The following is a 24,039-nucleotide window of genomic DNA, read 5'->3' on the forward strand; positions in this document are numbered from 1 at the left end:
TGTGTGTGTGTGTGTGTGTGTGTTTGTGTGCGTATCAATATATCCAGATGTGTCCAAATGTACACGGTATTTTTAGCATACAAATTGCTGATTAGGCATCTATGTCCCTTTCTCCTCTAAAACCTCTAAGTGCATGGATCTATTAGTGGATGGGCGCCAGAACGACACAGTCAATGCAGGACTGAAATATTTACCAAACCCAAGAAATGAAGGTTTGTTTGAATAGTTTAAACTTGACAGGAGGCTGAGACAAGAGGATCACTTAAGCCTAGGAGTTCGAGGCTACAGGCAGCTCTATGATCATGCCCCTGCACTCCAGCCTGGGCGATAGAGCAAGACCCTGTCTCTCAAAAAAATAAAATAAATTTGAGTAGTGTAAGCTATGTAAACTTGGATAATCCGGTTACCTTCATTCTTTAATTTTTCCATAGCATATATTTGGCTTCAATGTCCAGGTTTTCGAGCACGAGAAATCTGCATTTTCATTCTAAGAAGTATAAAACAAGATAGTTATACTTCATGTAAGGTTCACATTAATTGTCATTGCACCTCTTCTTCCCAGAAGGAAGAGGGAAGTGAGAGCTGGAGTCAAAACTGGGTACTGTAAATGCTCATCTAATCTTGGAATCTCAGGGGATATTAATTTTCCAGATAGTTGAGTTATTGCCTTCAAATTTTAACTTCAAATTTTGTTAATGTGGTTGTATATGCAAATTCAGCCAATGTGCATGATATGTGTGTCTCAAACTACATTTATGAATTCACTGTAATTTTATGTTTCTCTTGATAATGTTTGATTGTTAACATAAGCATCACTAGACTTGTCAAGTGGCAAAGATCATATTCTTTCATTCTTTCTTCCTTTCTCATTTCTTGAATGCTGGCTATATGCCAGGAACTATGTACCCACCCTGGTGCTTGGTGTATAGAAGGCACTCAATGAATGTATGTTGAATAAATGAAAAAAATAAATGAATAAACAAGTTCAATGGATAGTTAAAAGGATAGTTTCAATTCTATAAACCTTAATTTGGGTGTAGGACCAGTCACAGTACCATGACAGATAGAGCTATTTGGTGATAAATAGTGTGGAATGTATTTACCACCAGGCAGTAATGCCCTGTCCCTCCTTGAATAGTACTACAGATATGAGAGTGCTTTTTTAAATTTTTAATCATTGGCCACTTTCTCTAGAAATTGGAGGGAAACTGTGCAGCAACAGGACTCTCTGGGCATTGTGACAGGTCTACTGTCTACAAAATTTGTGTTCAAGGCAAAATCTAAAGCAGCCATCTTTCAAAAGGATGTCCTCACTTTATAAAAAACAATTATTGCAATGACTATAGCCAATGAGGTTGTTCTTGCCACTGCCATTCAAAACATCAGTGATTTTGGCATCTTGGGCACATACCACAGACACCAACTTGTTTTTTCTTTCCCACACCTCTGTCCTATATATGCTAAGTTTATTCTTGGGCTGTGACAGAGGAGCATTCCTTATCACTTTGAGAAGTTCAGCTAGGATATTTAGGGGATGAACTGCATTCTTACGAATTCTTTATCATGATTACACTCCTATCTAGTATAATTTGAAGATAAAGTAGGGCCTTTGGAGGTAGACTAGCATAGGTTTGAAATGTTTCCTTCATTCATTATCAGCTGCCAAGAGTAACCTGGGGACGATTCCGTGCTTCGTAAACATGGTCTCTTCATATACATGCTGATATACAGGAAAGACCTTTGCAGAACTCCATGAAAGTTTGTTTTTTATTATTGTACTAAAAATTACATATACCTGACCAGACACAAAACTAAGCTGTAAGTTTTCTTTAAACCTCCTTAATATTTTGTCCTTTAAGCATAAGCGATGTTGCAAAGCACCCCTTTAATTTATCCTGTGTAAACAATCACTATAGTCTGCAAAATAGATTGCATTTCTTATGAAATCCACTTTGTAATAACATTTTGTATACAGAATGATGCATTCAGTGAATGAGGTAATTAATGCTAAAGGATAAAAAGATTATTTAAAAAATTTACCAAACTATACCTTGCTTCCTCAGTAGCTATGCATAGGTAAGTCTGTTATTCTGAAATTATGGTTGACTGAAAGAATAAATATAAAAGATAGTGGGAGGTATCCATCAAAAATGTCTTTATCTTTTTAAACACTGGTATGCACTCTATAAGGAGTAAGCAACAGTGACAATTTTTCCCTAATCACTAAATGATTATTAACCATTTGTAAGAAGAGTTAACCTGTCCTTAATTTGTTTGAACCCATAGGGCCATGAACAAACACCATAATAGAGTGAAGAAAGCAATGCCAACGTAGACCAATTTTATCACTAATATAGAACTGCCCTGGGACAGAGTATGCCCAGATATGAGTTCTCAGAAAAAGCCACAGAACTCTTCTGTAAACTCCTATATCAACTATATCCTACCTTCTCTTCTGCCTCAGCTTGCAGTAGCAGAAAAAGTTTACATGTGTTTGTATATTCACTGAACAGTAGCCCTCAAAGAATAGGGAATTCTCACATCTTTTCAAAAAGAGCCACTTAAAGAAAATACATTCTAAGTGCTTTAATTCAGATTTAAATGGCTACATTGCGAGATATTATTCCATATAATTGGAGTAATTGTGAATTTATACAGATTTTCAACAGTGGCACTGTGCAACCATTGATAAAATACAGGGGCTGGGGGGATAAAACCAGTATTGCCTGGATCCAGTGACATTTTCCCATGCTCACTTTTTCCAGTTGTGTAGCAATGACCATATTCTCTAATAACATCAGCATACTTTTATGCTTTGGTCTTTTTCCTTTTCATTAGGAGAATACTGGAATTCATGCTGTAGAATGGTTCCTTTTATACCCCAGCCCACTTGTTCAACGACATTCCTGTGATTTTACTATCTAATATGTTGTGGCTATAACCAGAGAATGCAAAATCTGTCTTCCTGAGAGCCTTGGCCTCTATGTTTTCTACCAAATCATACCTCCATTTTCTCTATAAAGGCTGTTGGTACACCCACAAATGTCATCTGTTTGTGATGAGCAGAACTGAGGCACTTTTGTTCTGATGCTTACATTTGTTCACATGAATAGAAGTTCCTCACTTGAAAGTGATTTGCACATAGGTTGAGGAACTGTGAATGAAATCACTCAACCTAGAGGCTGGCATTCTTCATGCTGCTGGCTGTTGATTTCTTCATCTTCTCCCTGAAGACCCTGCATGAGTGGTGAGTATCCATAAAGGCACCAGGAGACCCAGACACCTCTGTGGCAGCCAAGCAGGTGTTACCCTGCAGGACTTAAGAGGGATCTTAAGAGCAAGAGAAGGAAGGAGTGACTTCTCTCACCAGTGGTCAGAGCAGAAGGTGCAGAGCAGCAAGTTGCAGGTGCTGGCAGTGATGGCTTCTGAACTGAAGAGCAACCAAACCCTCCCATGTAACCCTGTCACCACAGCTCAAAGGGAGGTTTTCTTGCCCCCCAGTAGAAGGGAACTGACAGCGCCTGTATGGCTTTGCATCCTGAAGATACTGTAGTTGTTGCGTCTGTTGGGGAAGCATCAAGAAAATTAGATTGTTCCAACATTCAAGCTCTTCCATATTAGCTTTGTGTTCCATTTGATGTCAAACAATAGGTTGAAAAATTAGCTTAATTCTAAGCTTATATGTATATAGGGAATTTTATCAATTATTAGCACCATTATAACTTGTTAAACAGTGAACTTATAGTTGAATGTGATCTATTAGATGGCTGCTTAACATTTGCTCGAGAATAATCTATTAGTCATCTAAGCACAAAGCAGCTATTTGAAAATTTGTTGAGTAAATGACATCTCTTTGACAGAAATATCTGCATAATTGCAGTGTGTTATACATGCTCGTTATAGCCTAACTACACGTCTGTTTGAATTTGGGTTTTTCTTTTTTTTTTTCTGTCTGCATAACACACATGCAGACATCATAGTGTGAATACTTACTGTTATGATCTTGGAGAAAAGTGTATCTGTCAACTCTTTAACAGCCTAAGCATACTAAAGGTAGTTTGTAAGCAACACATAACTTTGAACATGGAAAAATTAAGTTTGCTTTTAATGAAATTCTAATTTTGTAACTTGCTGAGAGTTATTTTTAGAGAGTGGTAACTGTTGAAGAAAAAGAAGCTTTTTTTTTCTTTCAAATCCTGAAATGTAATTGGTAGTCATTAATTAAATTTTATAAAATAGATGTTCCTTTCAAAAGCAATCTCAAACAATAGTACATTTTAAAGTCTGGATCTCTTTCCCAGCAGCCCAGGGTGTTTTGAAGATAGGAGAACAAGGGAAGTACTTTAAGCTGTAAAGTCTTGCAGGGTAGCAGTTAAGTGCTTAAGGCACTGCATTCTTGATGCAGCGTCCTGTTACAGTAATATTATGAAAAAAAGCTACAGGGAATTCTCATACATGTCTAATACATATAGCTTTAATGTTCACATGGCTGGACCCATTCACAAATGGAATCTGTGGGTCAGATGTAGTTTGCAAGCCACTATTATTAAGCTGTTTTCCTTTTACTATTAAGTAATGTTGTTCCTTGTTAATATTATGAATGCGTGTGTTCTTTGCTCTCTCTGTAAATCTTTTGTTCCATTCATTTTTTTTTTTTTTGGCCTTACAAGAATGTGGGGGGAGGATATCCCTATCCACAAATCAAGTACTTTAAATAGCCAGGCTAGAGCTGAATGAAGGAAATCAGTCTAGATAACATCTTTGTGAAATGTATGCCTATGAACTCTGCGTCACACAATACAAAGGAAATTGCCATTGTCCTGCACAAGTTAGGTGAACAAAGCACATAAAAAATCCTGTTCTGGTTGCCATACATATTCCTGTGCAGCTGAAACTAGAATTCCAAACGCCACAGAAACGGCCAGGCTTAAGTGACTAACTTGCAAATCAGAGAGTGCAGGTTTTACATTGATAATACAGAGAGACCTGTAATCATTCATCACAGTGGTACTACATTTATTGATACTGAGCACTGCAAATCATAAACAATAAGGATTACATGACCACTGCTGCTACGGTGACTACTACTGCCATCACCGCCACCCTCCCTAGTGCTATTGAATAATGCTTATTAAGTTCTTTCAGCCAGCAACTGTGCTATGTACTTTAGTGTCATTCATCATATTTAATCACCCCAGCAACCCAATGAGGAATCCACTTTATAGAATTAAGGAAATTGAAGTTTAAATTGCTACCAGGTCACACAGCTTACGCATACCTGGTCTCATACTTGATCTCAGAGGTCTTTCTGGCCCCAAAGCCCTGTTCTTCCCCCACTATCTTGAACTTCCTTTCCCTGTATGTGAAGGGAATGGAACTCACCAGGTACCAAGATGTCACCTCCTAACCCTTACAAAGCCCAGTGAGTTATTTGGAGGAGAATTTTTCCCAAGGCCAAAAAGCTGCCCGTGTAATACTCCAAAGTAACTTCCATATCCTGGAAAGAGCAACTACAATCAAAGATAGCACCTTACAAACATCCTTCTTTTATTTAAAAAAATTAATTTTTTTTTAAAAGCTACCACCACCAACAGTTCTTCCCAAGATCAGAGATACCTGCACATCTGGCAATAAGCCCAGACATACCAAACTGTGTATTATCTAGAGCCAGGGACTTGAATACCACTGCATCTGCAGAGAGACAAGCATCTCATTTCAATAGACAACTTGTTCCTAGAGTGGGATACTCCCCTGCTGAACTGACAGGGAGCCGGAAGAGCGGCATTGAACAAAGAGAATAGTTATGACTGGGCAGCAGACGGCCCCAAGCACAACCCCAGGTTCTGCTCTTCTTCAACTTAACCAAGCAGAACTGCAGTTGACTCCCATTAAAAGTCAGTAGACATTTAGTCGGCTTCCAGAATGTGGGCAGAAGCTCATGTTAGTTATTTACTACCCATCTCTGGAATTCCTTTTGGACATGACCAATGAGTTACAGCTGGTCTTTAGGCAGTATGGCACACTCATTAACTAGCTGTCAGGAACAGCTACACCCTTTGGTCCACAAATCTGGATTTGCCAGAGGAAAATTCCAAACAGACCAGGAAAGCAAAAACCACTGACACCATCTCCATAATAACTGTAAAACTGAAACATACACGTTCTACAAAGAGGGCTGTTCTTCTACCTCCTCAGGAACAATTTGACAAAGGCAAACACTTTATGCACTAGCCCTGGACAAACAATGCAAAGAAAAATCTTGTGCAGCTGATTTCAGGGTCAAGAGGGCGCTTCTTACCAACCCTCAAAGACAAACCAGCACAGAGAATAGTAAAATGTGCAAAGCCAAACCAGTTGCTACTCTCTATCCATTCCCCAATTTCCTTTGTTCACAGAAAGTGACCCTCTCCATGGCCCTGGGGTAAATCTGATTTGTTCATGGTGGTGATGCTGGTCCCATTCCCCTTGCAAAGCAGGTCTGGCCTGTTAAAAAGGGCCATGAAATCTGCAGGGACTGTCGGAAGAGACTCTCCTGCTGGACCTTGACATTTCTGGAAGTGCCACTATGAATGGACACTGCAAATGGCTGTACCCATTTTTTGACTCTGAAGGAAATAGACTGAGAATAAATGTCAACTGGAAGAGCAGAAAGAAAGAATCTGAAGCTCCGACATTTCTTGACCTACTGAATTTACCAACTTTAAATGTGCATCATCTCCAGGCTTTTTGTTATGTTAAGTAAATAATATCCTTATTATTAAATCAGTTTGAGTTGGGGTTCACTGTTATACCCAAAAGCATACAGTAGGAATTATCTTTGGTGGGCTATTTGAGACTCATCAGAATTCTTTATCTACAGTCTTACAAATTGGTTGGATTTCCATTACCTCCTTACATACACTGATCAGCAGGAAATACAGGGAGATCAAATTATATTTAATATGTCTTTTAAAATACACTCATTTTCTTCTATCCACTTTTGGAACTCCAAAAAAGTAACTCTCTCATGCTAACAACTCCCTTATTAGAGAAAAGAATTGTAGGTGTGTAAGCATTGTTTTCCCATGACAACGTTTTTTTTTAATTATTTATTTATTTAGAGACAGGGTCTCACTTTGTCACCCAGGCTGGAGTGCAGTGGCACGATTACAGCTCATGGCAGCCTCGACCTCCCCAGGCTCAGGTGATCCTACTACCTCAGCCTCCTGAGTAGTTGAGACTACTACTATCAAATGGGTAGCATGTACCATCACACCCGGCTGATTTTTGTACTTTTTTTTAGAGATAGAGTTTGCCATGTTGCCCATGCCGGCCTCGAACTCCTAGGTTCAAGCCATCCTCTCACCTCATCCTCCCAAGCAAGTCACTGGGCCCCCCAAATCTAAGAGTCATGTCCAGGAATCAGCATTTCTAACAAGCACTCTTTTATGAGATATATGGAAGGTATGACTCAGCGCTTGAGGAAGAAGAGCTACAAGAGGAAGAGGACTTCTTCCAGGCAATGAGAGGCTTAGAAATTAGTTGGAAACCTTTTTTGAATATTTACTTCTTCCAGAAGACTAGAAACATAGTAGGGACTGAGTGAGTCAGGTAGATGGCCAATTTCCCTGCTTTGGGAAGATTCTCCCTGAAATTTTCCATTGGTGTTATGCTCTGCTCAATGTTTGTAAACACAGCTTCTCTGATACTGGAGCATGAAGCAGTGTGTCGGTAGCTTTGACTAGTAATGTGTCTTAATGTAAATATGTATAAATATTATATGTACACACACACATGCACACATACAAGCTTTTTTTTTTTCTTTTTGAGACCGAGTCTCGCTCTGTCACCCAGGCTAGAGCACAGTGGCGTGATCTCGGCTCACTGCAACCTCCACTTCCCAGAGTCAAGCTATTCTTTTGCCTCAGCCTCCTGAGCAGCTGTGAATACAGGCACCCACCACCACACCTGGCTAATTTTTGTACTTTTAGTAGAGATGGGGTTTCACCATGTTGGCCAGGCTGGTCTTGAACTCCTGACCTCAGGTGATCCCCCTGCCTTGGCCTCCCAAAGTGCTGGGATTATAGGTGTGAGACACCACGCCCGGCCACATACAAGCTTTAAATGAAGTCTTTTAAATGACTTCCTCTGTATTTATGTATCATAAGTAAAAAATAATGTCATGGATGGTAACATTCTACAGAAATGAACACATGCACGGGAGCACCAGCCAGGGAACACAGAGACCATACTGGACAAGGGATTAAAGGCAAGAGACGTGGAGATTTCTTCAGTAGAAAGCCATGTGGATGGGAAGGGGAGAGATGTGATTATGTAGATGGGCCTACATCATTATGGGAAAGACTCGTATGGCATCTGTATGGGGAACAAGCATTTTTATTCTTCTCCATATTTTGGTCACAGACAATAACACATAATACATGAGATTGTAAAGTCCAGAGGTACAGGAACTGTGCCTGTATATTTTCTATATCATAGATACCACAGAATTTATAGCTAACATTTGTAACATAATCAAATATTATAGCAGGTGATAAACAAGAGAGAAAAAAAAACAAAAATAAGTCATTAACATTTATCACGGATATTTTAGCCTTCATAGCCTTAACTGAATTTCTTTTCTATAGAGTTTTCAAGAGGAATAATAGAAATAAAAGATTAAAGAAAGTATAGATAGATAGATATAGCTATAAATAAGAATAGCAGGATAGGATTTCTACTTTTATAGAAATCTAGTGAGAAACAAGATGCTCTTTATATTTCTAAAACATCTTGAACTTTTTGATGAGAAAACTTTTTTCAGAGCAAAGCTGTTACTATAAAAATAGTATTCTAGTGCTGATTTGTCCTTTAAATATATTAGAAACATTCTTTTGAACTAAGATCTTTTAAATTGTTATATTAAAATGCAGTTTTTCTCCTTATTTGGTCATTTTTCTTCTTAGTGAAATCATAGTCCAAGGAAGCTAGATTTTTATTATGTTTTTAAAAACAGATGCTATTTTTATAGATAAAAGAGGATGGTTGCCTATAACACTGATTTTCTTCGTAAAAAAAATAAGAAGCACAGAATATGCTGAATAATTGCCCAAAATACTTTTCTGGGGCAGTGTAGAATAGTGAGAAGGGAAAAAGATGTGGAGCTATACAACCTGGGTGGGTGTTATAGTTTCATTATATGCTGGCCTTGCAATGTTTTGCAAGTCAATTACTGTCTTTTGGATTTAGCTTCTGCATGCATGAATCTGAATGGCTATACTTCTGTACATGGTTGTTGTAAGGGTTAAAATCAGTCAGTGCACTTTTAAATCACGTTACAAACTATGTGTCACTGTTATGTGACACATACAAATTATGCATTATCATCATATGATCGATATCAACAAAATGAAAACTCGTGTCATCTCATCTTGAAATGAAAGAATGTTTGATTCCATGAATGTGATCGTGAAGCCGAGTTCAGAGAGACATTTCTGGAATATTCTATACAATGCTAAACAAAGATAAGCAGTTTTTAAGTTAACGGAATGCTGAACCCAGAATCATCCATTTTAGGGAAGTTGAGCTGAGTAAGGTAGTTCAAGACAGTTGCCTGAAGCTCCACTTAGGTTTGAGATGGAGTAGATTCGGAAGACAAGACGAATGAAGTATTTGATTTTCTAAAAAAGGGAATGGAGACATTTTAATTTACAGCTTCTGAGGAAAGGTCATCAATCCAGAGAAGACCGTGAAGGAAGGTCCAGGAAGAAGGTATCCTCTGGAAAGGCCAGGGTGTCAGGGCCACTGTGGAAGTGTGGGCATGTAGCAGAAAGAACTCACTTCACAACTGTTTAAAAACGTTAAGGATATAAGCTAATGTTCGGGAATAGTTAATGTTTCTCGGAGTGAATATTAAGCTTCCTCCAAGAAAAACAACTCAACTCCTAAAGTCAGCCCTAAACTAGTGCCAAGAAAATAGTGCTAAATTAGGCTTCTAGGAGAGATATGACTCAGTTAAGTATCATAGAGCACTCAACCCATAAACTATCCATTTGTAGTCCTTGAGAACATAAGAGATTACAAATAAATGTACTGACTCTTTCCTTAAGGAAAAGAAATGCCTAAAATCATGATTCAGCTTTTTAAATTCAGTTTCCATGTGTAACTGTTATAGCTGCTGGGAAATACTTGATAGTCAAATCATTTTGTAAAACCATTTCCAAATGTTTAGTCTAAGATTGGGCAAATGTTCTTGGAACCAAATAAATTTTCTGAGTATTGATTCTAAATCTCTTTAGTCAGAATGAAAGTACTAAGAACTGTTTTAAAAATCATATTTTTCTGTAAGCTTATGGGCAAGCATACAAGAAAAGATATACATGTTACATGTCAAATTGTGTGTATCTAGTTCAAGTCCTGATCCGATTTCATATAATCTCTATCTGAATAATTGGCCAAATGTCAAGAAGATGCATATCTTAAAGGGACTTTCAAGTATATTGCCAACGTGATTGGAGTATTAACAACAAATTTGGATATTAATTCTTGGTAATCTCCAATAGCATCTAATTTCATTTCCATTATTTCATAGATGCCTCCTTTTCATCTAATATTGAGCATTAATTAGTCTTTATTTGGCTGGAGTTAACATTAGCTAAAGTTTGAACTTAGGCTATAGCATCTGTGCATACATGTTTGATTTGTGAAAACCCAGCAGCATGGCAGTTCAAATATTTATTCATTTTCCTGTGCTGGCTCTTAAGCACATGTGCATATGCAAAGTGACCTAGCTTTGTGAATGGTCATACACAGAGAAAAAGAAATACATATAGAATAAATAATTTGGGCCTTAAAAAATATGTATATATGTGTGTGTGTGTATACATATATATGTATAGCGTTCCTTTTTTGAAAACTTGTAGCATAAGGAAATAGGACTGAAACATTCATTATTTTCTATGAAGTAACATTAATCTCACAATTTTCACTCCACTTTTTGACTAAGGGTGGATTTTTCCCCTAAAATCTTAGAGAATCATAAAAAATGAGATGAAAAGTCAACTTCTGAGACTGTGTATTCCTTTACCCCACCTGTGTGCGACTGTTTACTTCAGACTGCTTTATGTTCCTCAGAGCACAACCATCTCCTGTAAAACAAAAATGCCTATTAAACTGCTATAACTCGGGAGCACACCGGAGCATCCCCTTAACACTAACCATGGTTTGACAACACTATCCCCAAACCACATCTTTTGCTTTCTAATTTGTTAAGCTTAACTGTAATCTTTAACTTTCCAAAGTGAAGGCAAAGAAATTTTCTTAATGTATTTCTTTGTGATAGGGAAAAAGTGATACTTTTCTTCTACTTCGTCTTCAAATTTCTTCTGGAATTTTTTTTCAGTGACCTTATCTCTACTTTTTCATTTTCCCTATTATAAAGAAAATAGTCATCTCTTCTTTCATACATTTATCTTTTCCATATTTGATGAGCACGCCTCCCCGCACTTAAGAAAACATTGTAGGAAAAAAATATTAATCTAAAATTGTACATTGTACTCTAATATCTGTTTTTCATTTGTCTCCCCCATTAGACTCTAGGCTTCTTGAAAGATTTCTTCTTTGTTTTCTACACCCAGTTCCTGCCTGTCATATAGTTCAAATATCAATTAGTATTCGATGAGCCAATGAACCACTTCATCAGGTCAGAATCCAGAAGGATACATTTTGAAACTAATCATGACACTGTGATTTTTAAAGGGCTTCCCATTGATCTTTTCACTCCATTCCAAAGGTGTCTGAAAGGCACCAGAGGGAAGGCAAAAACTCCAAAGTATCAGCCCCCCAGTCTGTTCTCATGAGAGCTGCTATGGCTCATTGCCACACATACGCAGTCTGATGTTAATCAACACTAACTAGAGCAGCTTGTGGCTATTCTCATCCTTGAGCAGATGAAACAAGGCCAGCAGCAGTGAGGGCACTTTGCTATAATAATCCAATAAATACTTTTGAAATGATGCTTACTTTTGTCTTTTGCATTAAAGTCTAAGCGCAAAGCCAAGTAGAATAGAAAATAAAGAACACTTCCCCTCTTCCACAATACCAAGCAGAAATTCCAGAGATTTTGCCAAAACTCCCCCATAGATTTATCGCTTCTTAGGAGACTTTGTACAGAGAACTACAAAATCTCCTTTGCACCATAAGGGCCAGATGTTACTGTTGAATTGTAACCACCCATAGCTACATGTGTACACACATTTCACAGTCATCTCTAAATGCACACAGGAGGCACAATGAATGGAAGTTAAGACCTAACCTAGGCTTTTTCTAGGTTCAGAGAAAACCCTGACTAGCTACTCCTGGTAGATGGTTTCTCCTCTTTACCAAAGCCTCCCATCACTAGGGGGCAGGTTCATTCCCAACTTAGGAAGCACTAAAACAGAAAAGCTTTCAACCCCAGAAAAGTGGTACCTAGAGGTGTGATTTGTATAGCTAGCTGTAGCTGAGTCTCATCCTCACAATGTTGCATCAACATTTGATCTGAAATAAATCCTTCAAACTTCAGATATATCATATTCCTATCTAATTATCAAAATACATTCCTTAGGTACATTAAAACTTTTTGATCACTTACTATTGTAGAATACCTCAAACTGAACTCCCCTATATCTGATCAATACCTGAGTTGACCATTAATTTTAAATTTAATTCAAAGTGACAGTTTTCATTCTAGACCTTCCTTGGATAGCCACAGAGATGTGTTATGTACAAATTATTTCAGTCATCCAGTTTCAATGAAGAGGTAGAGTTCAGGTGGATTTGGAGTGGGTATGAGAATCTAGCCAGATGGCCACAAAGACAGTCCTGGTGCTCTGGAAGAACAACCACAGCATAAGCAAGAAACTGGAACACCACACCTGGTATAGGCCAATCCCTCTTTTCACCACAATCTGGCAGTCTTTGGTAAAATAAGTGTAAGGGGAAGGATCCAGGCTGGAGAGGAGTGAGCAGAAAAATTGAGTACAGGATCTCAGAAGGTACAAAAAGCTACGCAGAAGGTACAAAAATCTGTTGCCTAATACAGCCTAATGACAAGTCACAAAAATTACCTTACTGAATTAGAAAGACCTTATCTTGATTGTATGGGATTAAACCATATGAAATTGCTGATAATTGATTGGTTCTGACCTACAAAAATGCCAGTTCAGCTAGCTCAACCTGATAGTATGAGTCACACGGGGTGAATGCTATGAAGACGCTCTGCCTCCACCTATCCTGGTGATACAGGTCTGCAGGAGGGTTTGCATCTAGAAATCAGAGATTTTTGTTTTTTAAGAGTCAGAGTCTTGCTATGTTGCCCATATTGGAATGCAGTGACTACTCACAGGTGCGATCATAGCACACTGCAGCCTCGAACTTCTGGACTCGAGTCCTCTTGCCTCAGTCTCCCAAGTAGCTGGGACTAAAAGCATGTGCCAACATGCTTAGCCCTAAGATTTTTTTTTTTTTACTTAACCTCCCCTGGAGCTCCAGTTTTTCGTTGAGGGGCCTCAGGGGCATCCTGGGAGGGCAGAGATGGATTGGAGTGGAGGCCACGTGAATGAGTCTCAGAAATACCATTTTGTCTGCTTTCTGTTGTAGGGTTCCACATAAGATCTAACATAAAAGGTGTGGGGGAGGTTCTTATGCTTTAAAAAAAAAAAAAATGATTCAAAGCCTCCAAAGCCTGAAGTTCATTTTTTGAAAAGTGACCCAAACACAAATCTTGACATTCTGGAATATTGAAGTTTTAAAACTAAATCCGGAGGGCCATGAACAAGTATGTCGATCACATAATTTCGTGAAAGGCAAATTCTTGATAATGGTCATCCTCCTTCAGCCAGGTAAATGTCAAATTCAAAGAAAATATATTCAGGACAGCACTGTGAAATTTCTGAGGATAAGAGCATATTTCACAGCACATAAATGAAAGTGGATCTCGGTGAATGTTCTATACAGAGAGAAAGGTTGTGTTTTGAACCTTTAAATAACTTTGGACAAAGGGTGAAGAAGGATATTGTTCACACCACAAGTCAAAAGCCACTCCCATCAATGTGCCCAACCACACAAGTCGAGGCTGCTGCTGGCCTTGATGGTTCATGGCCATTTGGAGTGTTTGCAGAGAGATTGGATGATTACTTGTCTAGAATTTGAGCTGTGTCTACTTATTCAATATTTTGGAACATTTTTTCTATAAATAACCGGTCAATTTTGTCTAGAAATCAGTGAAGTGATTAAGTAATAGGTCTATGTATTTATTGAAATGTTGTCTATATGGTAGGGATATATTCATCTGTCAGTTCAGGCAGATAAAACTGGCTACACTTGTGTGGATACAAACATGATCATAAACCTCACTAGTTCAATGAGCTGGCTTACATCTAAAGGACTCTTTTGGAAGTTGAAAAACAAATATCTTTTGCGTAAACATTTTTAATATGACACCATATTTAACTTAAAATTTTAAATAACAGATGATCCTGTGAGATGCTATTTTGTGAGGTGTGAAAGGCCCCCAAAATGTAACTCTCATTGAGGAATTTTTATAGAAATTAGGGTTTTTACATTCTTTATTAGTAAATAGCTAGAAGATCTGTCTTATACTATATTGCTATGAGAATGGAAAACAATCTACATGAAAAAAGATTATGCTATGGCACAGAAGTACCTATTGGTTGAACAATGGTCATATGATTTTAAAACAAAATCATATGATTTTAAAACAAAGTGGGCAAAATCACCTACTACTGCCTGGCAAGAAGCAAAGGATCTAATTATATTAAAATTCTGCTGCTTACATTAAACCCAGAGACTCATCTGCACAGACAGCCATGTGAAGGGCTTCTTTCTTTCTAAGGTCAACTTGAGACCCTTTACATAATAATCATGTTTGCTTTACCATACATTGTGCCTAATTTTTTTTTAAAAATTAAGTTTGTAAGCTCAATTCAAGCCTCTTTTTATTTAATGTTTAGATTAGTACTAAAATGAACTACTAATGTCTGGGTCCTTTGTTAGCAAGGATTTTCTTTCAATACCTACCAGAAGGAGTGGCTTAGCTGTCTGAGTATCAGCTTTAAAATACCTAGACTTCCTGGAACCATAGATTGTATTCTTAGGAGGGCTGAGGAACTTCTTAATTATTCTGAAATAGGTGGAATGGCAGACCATTTCCTACACAAGTGTCTCTCTACAAAATCTTAAAAATCCAAATACTCTGTGGATTTTAAAAATTCAGTAACTTTTTTTCTTCCATTTGGAGAAATGTTCATTTGCTGTATGACCTCAGAAATCCAAAAATATGTCCTTTCCTTTTGCTTATCTTCTACAGTTTCTTAGCATGTTGTACCCTAAGCTATTTGTATATACTTTAACAATGATATTTATTTGCTTAAGCATTATACTTTCAATTGTGGCTGAGCTAGTCCATTCTAAGGGCTAGACTGCAGAGAACTACTCACTGAAATCCATGTGGTTAGAAAGAGCCCTTTTAAGCTTCACGTGGTATGTTCAACTCATGGGGTCTTTGAATTCTCACCACTTTTTTTTTTTTTTGAGGCAGAGTCTTGCTCCGTCACCCAGGCGGGAGTGCAATGGTGTGATCATAGCTTACTGCAGCCATAACCTCCTAGGCTCAAGCAATCCTCCCACCTCAGTCTCCCGAGTAGCTGGGAGTACAGGCATGCGCCACTATACCTGGCTAATTATTTTTAATAGAGATGAAGTCTTGCTAGGTTGCCCAAGCTGGTCTCGAACTCGTGAGCTCAAACAATCCTCTCAAAGTGCTGAGATTACCGGCATGAGCCACCACACCCGGCCACAGTTTCGTTTTAACATCTGTTAATCCAAAAAATTTCTTCAAAGTCCTTTGGTGATTTTGTCAATGCTGCTATTGATGTTTTGTTCTGGGAGGAAGCTCTCTTTCACCCCATTGTATTTTAGAAGTTTCAATGCAACCATGGAATGAGGATTTTCATTACAAGCTTTTTGAAAGGTGCAATAGTCTCAACATAATGAACTCAAAATCTCAGTGCATTGAAGGGTTTGCATGCCAAGTTGACCAAGTGCCTAAACTGTATAAACTCCCTATGTGCACACTTAGAATTGGATCATCAGATTTGTCTAAACAACTTGAAAGGCTTTGCTATCTGTTCACTGAACAGTCATTATGATGTACACACCTTTAAGAGGGACTCAGCCCCTCCACAACTGATAATGAAGGAAGAATCTCCAAGTGAGGTGAGGCAGCTGGACTTTGCAGGTCTGACTCTTGTCCCCTGCGATTCACTTTTCATCAGCAACCTGGAGGAATCAGAACTAGGCCCTGCTGAACAATCTGGAGATGAAAATCAAAGCCGGGAAGTACAGCTTCTCCTGGATTGGATCTCGATTTGACTTTTTTCTTTTTTCTTTTTTTCAAGGAACAGACTGGGTTTCTTCAGAGCATTATATCAGGGATTAAGAGAATCAGTAGACTCGGGTTGTTTTGGTTTTAGAAAAAGATCTCAGACGATTATTTAAATTCCCTATGCCTTGGTTTCCCTGTGAGAAAATGAAAACAGTAAGGCCTGGACCCTCCCAGTAACAAAGGGGCAGATGTTAAAAATATAAAGGATTCTAGCTTTCATATAGGAAATGCATGTGCAAAATATTACTCATTTATTAAGGTGCATGAAAATTTACTGTTAACAACACAGAAGACTAATATGTATCATTGATGTTATTCAGGTCTTATAAAACTCTAGTGGCCAGTCGTGTTTTTAATGCCAAGAACCCCGAGGAGCAACTGGTTTCTAAGAATCAACACTTAGTTCTGAGCCGAGAGATGCCCCAAGGAAGATAAGAGACTTACAGTTTGTTTGGCGTCCAAAAAGCTTTCCAGACAGCAGTTTGTTTCCTTTCCCTTTTTATGAATGGTGGTAGTATTATGCTTCAGTCTGCGTTTTCTACCAAAGCCATTCATAAAAATAAAAACAAAACAAAATAACAACAACAAAAACTTTCTCGGCACAGTCTGGAGCCATTGGGTGCCAGAGGCTGGGAAAACATCCTGGCAGCCATAACCCCAACCAACATTGAAAGTATTCAAGGGTCTGTTTGTTTGGTGGTCTGAAAAGTATGAAGTGCTGTGTCTGAGGGTAGCTGGTAGAAGTTCCGTGACACGGACTAGGCCGGGAGCCAGGGCTGGCAGAGATTCAGACATTGTCTTTCCCCTCATTGAAGTGTCAGGACCTAATTCATGGAAAATTGGGTGAGCTGGCAGCTCTTTCAGAGGATTTCATTGAGCTGCAGTGTGCAGGAGTCACATGAATGCGGGAGCCTCTGCCAAAAAAGGAGGGGGATTTCTGAGCAGTAGGAACCAGTCAGCCTGCAAGAATGTATGTGGATTTGAAACGGTTTGGGAGTAAACATGTGTACAGGTGTAATCAACAGGGAAAAATGGGAGGAAGATGAGTGCTCTCTTCTTCCAAATGACCCTTTGGAAATGAATCCTCTATTAGCCCACGCTTTTGTGTCCTAAGAGGCAAGAAGTCCTCATCGTTCTTGGTTCGATTTTCCCTGGAGAAAACATCATCTCAAAACTTGGGCTTTTGTGATGACGTCATCTTTACTGTGATTTAAAGTCAAATGGAAGAACGTCTTTTCCTTTGAGCAAAAGTACCTTGCCATTTATTTTATTTTTATTCTGTCCATCTAAAAAAAAAAAGCTCTAATGATTTTTATATGGAATTTTTAATGTACCAGCAATAAACCACTGTACCACTGAGAGGAACTCTGAGAGGAAGGGGCTCTCAGAATGAATGAACAGGGGCTAGTGAATAGTGAACGTATCCTAAGTGCTGTTATTTGGGAGAACTGGTGCAAGAAAGCATGTCGCTATCCACATCAGAGTACCTCAGGTGTACTCACAAATCTCAGCGATGTGTAGATAGAATAATACATGCCTATATTCAGACATGAGAGTGAGGACTGGAAGCAAATAATCCATCGAAAAGCTCAGGCTTCAAATCCATCTTTTATAATGCCAAAGAAATAAGAAGTATTCTCTAATACTCGATTGGAAAGTTAGGCAGGCAGAAAAACATTCCCTCGGATGTTTCACTCAAAAGAGGAGAGTTTTGCTCTACACATACAATAGATACAGATATAACACAATATAACACAATATTCTTCCCATGATACCACGAAGAAACTGAACAAACTCACAGAATTATTTGCAAATCATAAGGGACTTGAATGCAAAACATTAAAAGAACTCTTACAACTTTGTTATGAAGAGATAGCAAATTTTTTTTAAATGGGCAAAGGATTTAAATAAACATTTCTTCCCAGGAGACATATAAATGGCCAATAAGCACATGAAAAGATGCTCAACATCATTAGTTGTGAGAGAAGTTCAAATTGAAACAGCAATGATGTTTAACTTCACATCCACTTGGATGTCTACAAGCAAAAAGACAGGCAATAACAAGCATTGGCATGTATACGGAGCAATTGGAACTCCAGATTCATTGCTGGTGGGACGGACTGCAAAATGGTACAGCTGCTTTAGAAAGCTGTCTGGCAGCTCCTCAAAAAGTGAAACAAAGAATTACAATATGAACCAGCGATTCCACTCCCAGGTACATACCCAAGAATGAAAACATGTTCGCACGAAAACGTGTATATAAATGTTCATAGTAGCATTATTCATAATAGCCAAAGGGTGGAAACACCCCAGATGTCCACCAACTAATGAATGGATAGGTAAAATGTGGTATACCCATACAAGGGAAAATTATTTAGCATGAAAAGGAATGAACTGCTGATGCTACCACATGGATGACCCTAGAAAACCCTAGGCCAGTGAAAGAAGCCACACACAAAAGACTCTACATATATAGTATGATTCCACTTACATGAAATGTCAGGATAGGTAAATTCATAGAGACAGAAAGTAGATTCATGGTCACTTAGGCATGGGAGGTGGCTAGGGACGTGGAGGGTAGTGGGGAGTAACCACTAATGGGTACAAGATTTCTTTTAGAGGAGATGAAAGTGTTCTAAATTAGACTGTGGTGATGGTTGCACAACCCTCTGAATATACTAAAATATACTTTAAATGAGTGAATTATGTGGTATGTAAATTATGTCTCAGTGAAGGTGTTTTAAAAAAATAAAATATTAACAAATTAGGTACCTTCACTCCTCAGTTTTGTGATATATAGGCTAAAAACAAAGTGAATCAAACAGTTAAGTTTCTTTCAAGCTAGTTGGCTTGTATGCCAGAATTTAATTGGGAATTGGAATTGTTTTCACTGAGATAACCTATGTTGTATTTCCTTAATATAGAGAGATCATGAATAGACATTTTTGTTTTTTTTGAGATAGGGTGTTGCTCTGTCACCCAGGCTGGAGTGCAGTGGCATGATCACGGCTCACTGCAGCCTTGACCTTTCTTGGCCCAGGTGATCCTTCCATTTAGGCCTCTGAGTAGCTGGGACTACAGTTGCAACGCCACCACACCCTGTTAATTTTTGTATGTTTGTAGAGAGAGGGTTTCACCATGTTGCCCAGCCTGGTCTACAACTCCTGGGCTCAAGCCATCCGTCCGCCTCTGCCTCCCAAAGCGCTGGGATTATAAGCGTGAGCCACCATGCCTGGCCAAGTATAAACACTTTTAACATTGGATATACCAGTTGAACTTTATACTTTCCTCTTTCCTTTGCAGACAAGTATCTGTATTTAAAATATGTACACCTAATTTTTTCTATAATGTATATTTTCTTTTAAAATATATCTTTTTCTTTTCCTCCTTAGCCACAACAAGTTGTTCAGAAGAAGCCTGCTCAGGTAAGACATAGTCATTAATTTTTTTCTCCCAATTAATATAAAAAGTGAAATATGTACTGAAAAATGTCCCCAAACTAAACCTTATTTCGCATTTTCTTACTTTTGGTTATCGTCCTGCAGTATTCCTGAAAATGTGTTGTAGCCTTCAAAGTTAGGAATATATAGTCTGCAATCGTACCATGAAAACCTCCCAAAATGTAAGGTCTTAAGTGTACAAAGCAAATATAAATTCTTTTAAAAATAAAACTATTTTATTACATTGCCTCATATGTAAAACAAATATTTAATCTTATCCTATATTTTACCAATTCTTAAACATCAAATTTTGTCCTTCCAACTGACTGTCTATATTCTGTTGACACCAGACTTATATTTAATGATTCATGACTGGAAACATATTTCTTCATTGAACAATTTCATAATATTTGATGATCCCAAAACACTCCAAAGAATGCTAGAATACTTGGAAATTAAGTTATACTAACGTGCAGACTGATGCATTCTTAGATCTTATTTAAATAACTGAATCACAGTCTCTGAAGTTTTTGGCAACATCAAATTGGAAAATAGCTCTACGTCTCTTGCCCCATATTCCTGGAGCACCTTGTCCTCACTATAATCTGTACATAGAAACATTAAAAAAACATATTTATTGAGGAAGCATATCTTGAAGAAAACAAAACTGAAGTATAAATTAACCAGGATTGCTAATAATGTGAGCCAGTATTAAAGTATAAGAACGTCCTGCTGTTCTCTTCCCTTCTGTATGTAAATAGTCATTGGAGATCCAGGTGGTATCATGCTGAACCTGCTAAAATAAGTAGTAAGCAGTGTCATGAGCTATCAAATTAAGTAGAACTCTTTCATGTAATTTTAAGTATCCATGAAATTTTTTTCCCTAGAAGTCTTTACAAATCTACCTTGCATCCTGTTTTCTTAGGTCAATGTTGCCTTGCCTGGGAAGGACCACCCGGGCAATCTTATATATCTACTGTTCTCTAAAAATGCCACTTAGAAGAGAATTGAAACTTCCAAACACATGAAAGGATCCAAGGAAAGTGTCTTCAAACAATTACATATGAGCTTTAAGTGGAATAAAAACAGAGTTACCATGAAAAAAATCATTTTCATTGCTGCTCCCATACCTAAAAGCTAAGAGTGGGAGAGGGGTGCTAAAAAAAACCCAGTGTTTGTGCGTCTTTAAGCAATATTTAAAAATATATACATATAAACAAAAACTTGACATTTTCATTAGGAGAACCCAAATATATTTAGCCTCTCATCCTTTAACTGTACAAAAATCAAGAGAAAGTAAATTGATAATTCTGTGCATTTGAGTCAAAGGATGAGGCAGAGTTCACATTTGCATCACAGGCTGTGAACTATAGATTAATCACTTTATGTGGTTTGTTAATATTGATTCAGCCCTTGTGCTTAGTGTCATAGGGAAGATGAGTCAAACAAAGAAAAACAGTCACTGCATCTGAGAAATGTATTTATATGTATATGCCTGTGTCCTATCCAGTGGTATGCTGGAACCAGCCCTTGTGAGCAAATAGTGAACATCTCTTCTGAATTCTGTGTTCAGTGATGTCAAGTAGGTAGCTTGAAATCCACTATGGTGGGAGTATTTACACCATGGAAAGTGACAAATACTACAAATCAGGACTTTTTTTTTTCCTGAGGAGCAAGTAGTTAAACATTTACCTCCCCAGCATGGCCCCACCCTTCAGCGATTCTGTTTATTTGGTCTGGAGATCCATCATATTTTTTATGAACTCCCTAAGTGAGTTTAATATGCAACTAGAGATGAAGACACTCCATGAAAACACATGAGAAGATGTCTGAACATTTGTTGAGCAAATGACCACAGAATGTCAATGTGTATGGGACACACGGGGGATACAGATGAATGAGTGGAATGCCTCAGGTTATCAAGGGGATGATAAGACTGGAATTTTCTTGTTTTGTTTGATTTTGTTGTTGTTGAGTTGCAGAAGGGAAAACTGAAACATAAATTAAGGGAAAGAAATTACAGATGAGATGAATGGCATATAGAAAGGTAGAGAGGCAAGAACAAATACATCATAGGTGGAGATTATTAATATGGCTAGAACTGATTGCAAGTTGGACATTAATACATCAAGAAATAATATAAGTGAAATCACAGTTGTTTTTCCCAAGAGAATTCAGAATCTCAAAGAAGCCACAAGTGGATTGAGTTGATCTTCAAGGATCAATCTGGCTATCTTACAGACCCTGTTCCAGATTTGCCCTTTATAGGAGAGTTCAGACTCAGAATTATAAAAAAGAACATGAGCTCATTGGGCTACCTAATTTATATTGTGTAATGACACAGTGATGAATTATATAAACATGAAAACTACGTGAAAGTTCGTGGAGGATAATGTAAATTTTACACTACATTCAAAAGAATCTCTTCCTTTTCCATCTGTTTCTTTCAAAATACCCTCCCAGATGGCTTTCCCATGAGGCAATCTGGATTAACTCAGCCTCATATCCTTCCTTCAACAGCACTTTGAGGGGTTACATTCAGAATCGCTTTTGAGGTGGTAAAAATTTTAGCACAACTAAATATTTTACATCTAAAGAAAAGGGCTCAGCAGTGTGTAAACAGACCTACGTTTTTCTTTCTGGCCCCATCACTGGGCTAATTAATTTCTCTTTGCTCTATTTATCCATCTAGGAAATGGGATAATAATAATGCCTTTTCCCTTACTCCCAAGAACATTACAAGAGATGCATAATTATATAAATTCCAGGTAGCATTATTACATTCTGACTTATTTTTGACTGTTAAGTTTTTCATTTCCAGAGATTTATAGTCTCAAAAATTCTAGAATCCTGATTTATTCCAAAGTACTTCCTCTTTGACGTCAAGTGTTTTCATTGAATGTTTTTTAAGGCAGGAATTTTTTAGCTGGAGGAAATTTTCTAGTAATTGCTCCATCCTACTGTTAGGGCTAAAGCATTCAGAATCATCTTCCTAGCATTTATGTCACACGTATACAGAATTACAAAGGCTCTGTGGTGAAGTATCCTCATACTGCCCAATGCTGAAGTCTCCTCAGAACTTCAAGAATGGCCCTTGTTGAACCTGGGGTACAAAGCAGCAGAGTTTATTCTGAGGAGACAAATTCAGAATTATGATAAATCTCAGCACCTGCATACGCACTTGTGTTTGTGTATACAAGTACATGCATCTAGAGAGAAATGAAAAGTGAAGGACCACCCTGTTGCAGGGGTTTGTGTTTGCGAAATCCACCAGGTGTCATCAGCTGCAAACATCAAGTGTGTCCCATAATCCTAATGGGAGAGTTAATAGTCTCTTAAAAATCTAAAGGGGAAAATCTGTAATATGTACGTTAACTTTTTTCTAAAATTCCAAAACCAATGAAAACAGCTTACAAAATAACTCTACTATATTTCCACTTCAAGTGATAAACAATAAATTGAAATCAGCTAATTACAAATAAATAGAAATGAGGCTGGGTGCAGTGGCTCACACCTGTAATCCCAACACTTTGGGAGGTCAGGAGTTCGAGACCAGCCTGGCCAACATGGTGAAGCCCCATCTCTACTAAATACACAAAAATTAGCCGGGCGTGGCGGCGGCCATCTATAATCCCAGCTACTCGGGAGGCTGAGGCAGGAGAATCACTTGAACCTGGTTGGCGGGGGAGGGTTGCCGTGAGCAGAGATTGTGCCACTGCACCCCAGCCTGGGTGACAGCGAGACTCCATCTCAAAAGAAAGAAAGAAAGAAATAGAAAGCAGCTCGTTTTTTAGCAATTTGAGCAGTTGAATTCTCAGTCATATGAATTACATTCTTCAGTAGGAAATGGTGGTAGGTTTTTCTTTTTCTTTTTTTAAAAAAAGAAACACCATAAAAGTACCAGATTATTATTATTATTAGAGGGTGCTTTGTTACTCAAGTTTTTACTTTGATAAAAATAAGTGTCTCTCCAACTGAGATGTCTAAAAAAGTTTCGCTAGTTTATCAGGTATTTGATCGTTTATTGCTATTTCCCTTTTAAGGCTTTAATCTGAGACTTGAAGGGACTCCCTAAATGTAATTCAGACATTTTTCTCTCACCTTTCTTCTACCCAAAGGGAAAACAGGTTTTTAAAATCCTAACAGCTCTCCACCCTTTCAATCCACTTTCCCCAT

At 38.0% G+C, this 24,039-nt stretch overlaps 1 protein-coding gene and 1 long non-coding RNA gene across 7 annotated transcripts in view; one reads left to right on the plus strand and one right to left on the minus strand.

Annotated features, from left to right (window-relative positions):
- Positions 1–24,039, plus strand: part of HMGA2 (high mobility group AT-hook 2) — a 141,832-nt gene that overhangs the window by 107,108 nt on the left and 10,685 nt on the right. Inside the window, exons 4-5 of one of the 2 annotated variants that reach the window (NM_001300918.1) lie at positions 19,816–19,848; positions 20,789–20,969. In NM_001300918.1, coding sequence (NP_001287847.1) covers positions 19,816–19,848; positions 20,789–20,863 — 108 coding nt within the window. In that variant the 3' untranslated portion in view covers positions 20,864–20,969. Of the gene's footprint in view, positions 1–19,815; positions 19,849–20,788; positions 20,970–24,039 lie in introns of those variants that run through there. The other variant, NM_003483.6, reaches the window with a different exon arrangement.
- HMGA2-AS2 (HMGA2 antisense RNA 2) lies at positions 1,751–17,140 on the minus strand. Of its 5 annotated transcripts, none has more exons than NR_199060.1 (4): positions 16,868–17,140; positions 16,197–16,557; positions 11,071–11,126; positions 1,751–3,562 (listed from the first exon to the last, which is right to left on the minus strand). It is a non-coding gene; the product is annotated as an HMGA2 antisense RNA 2 (long non-coding RNA). The 5 variants fall into 5 exon arrangements; NR_199058.1 differs by lacking the exon at positions 1,751–3,562 and adding an exon at positions 8,359–9,659 and having other exon boundaries at positions 15,058–16,557; NR_199059.1 differs by lacking the exon at positions 16,197–16,557.

Source organism: Homo sapiens, chromosome 12, assembly GCF_000001405.40.
Source record: "Homo sapiens chromosome 12, GRCh38.p14 Primary Assembly".
In the NCBI taxonomy this organism is placed as follows: Eukaryota; Metazoa; Chordata; class Mammalia; order Primates; family Hominidae; genus Homo; species Homo sapiens.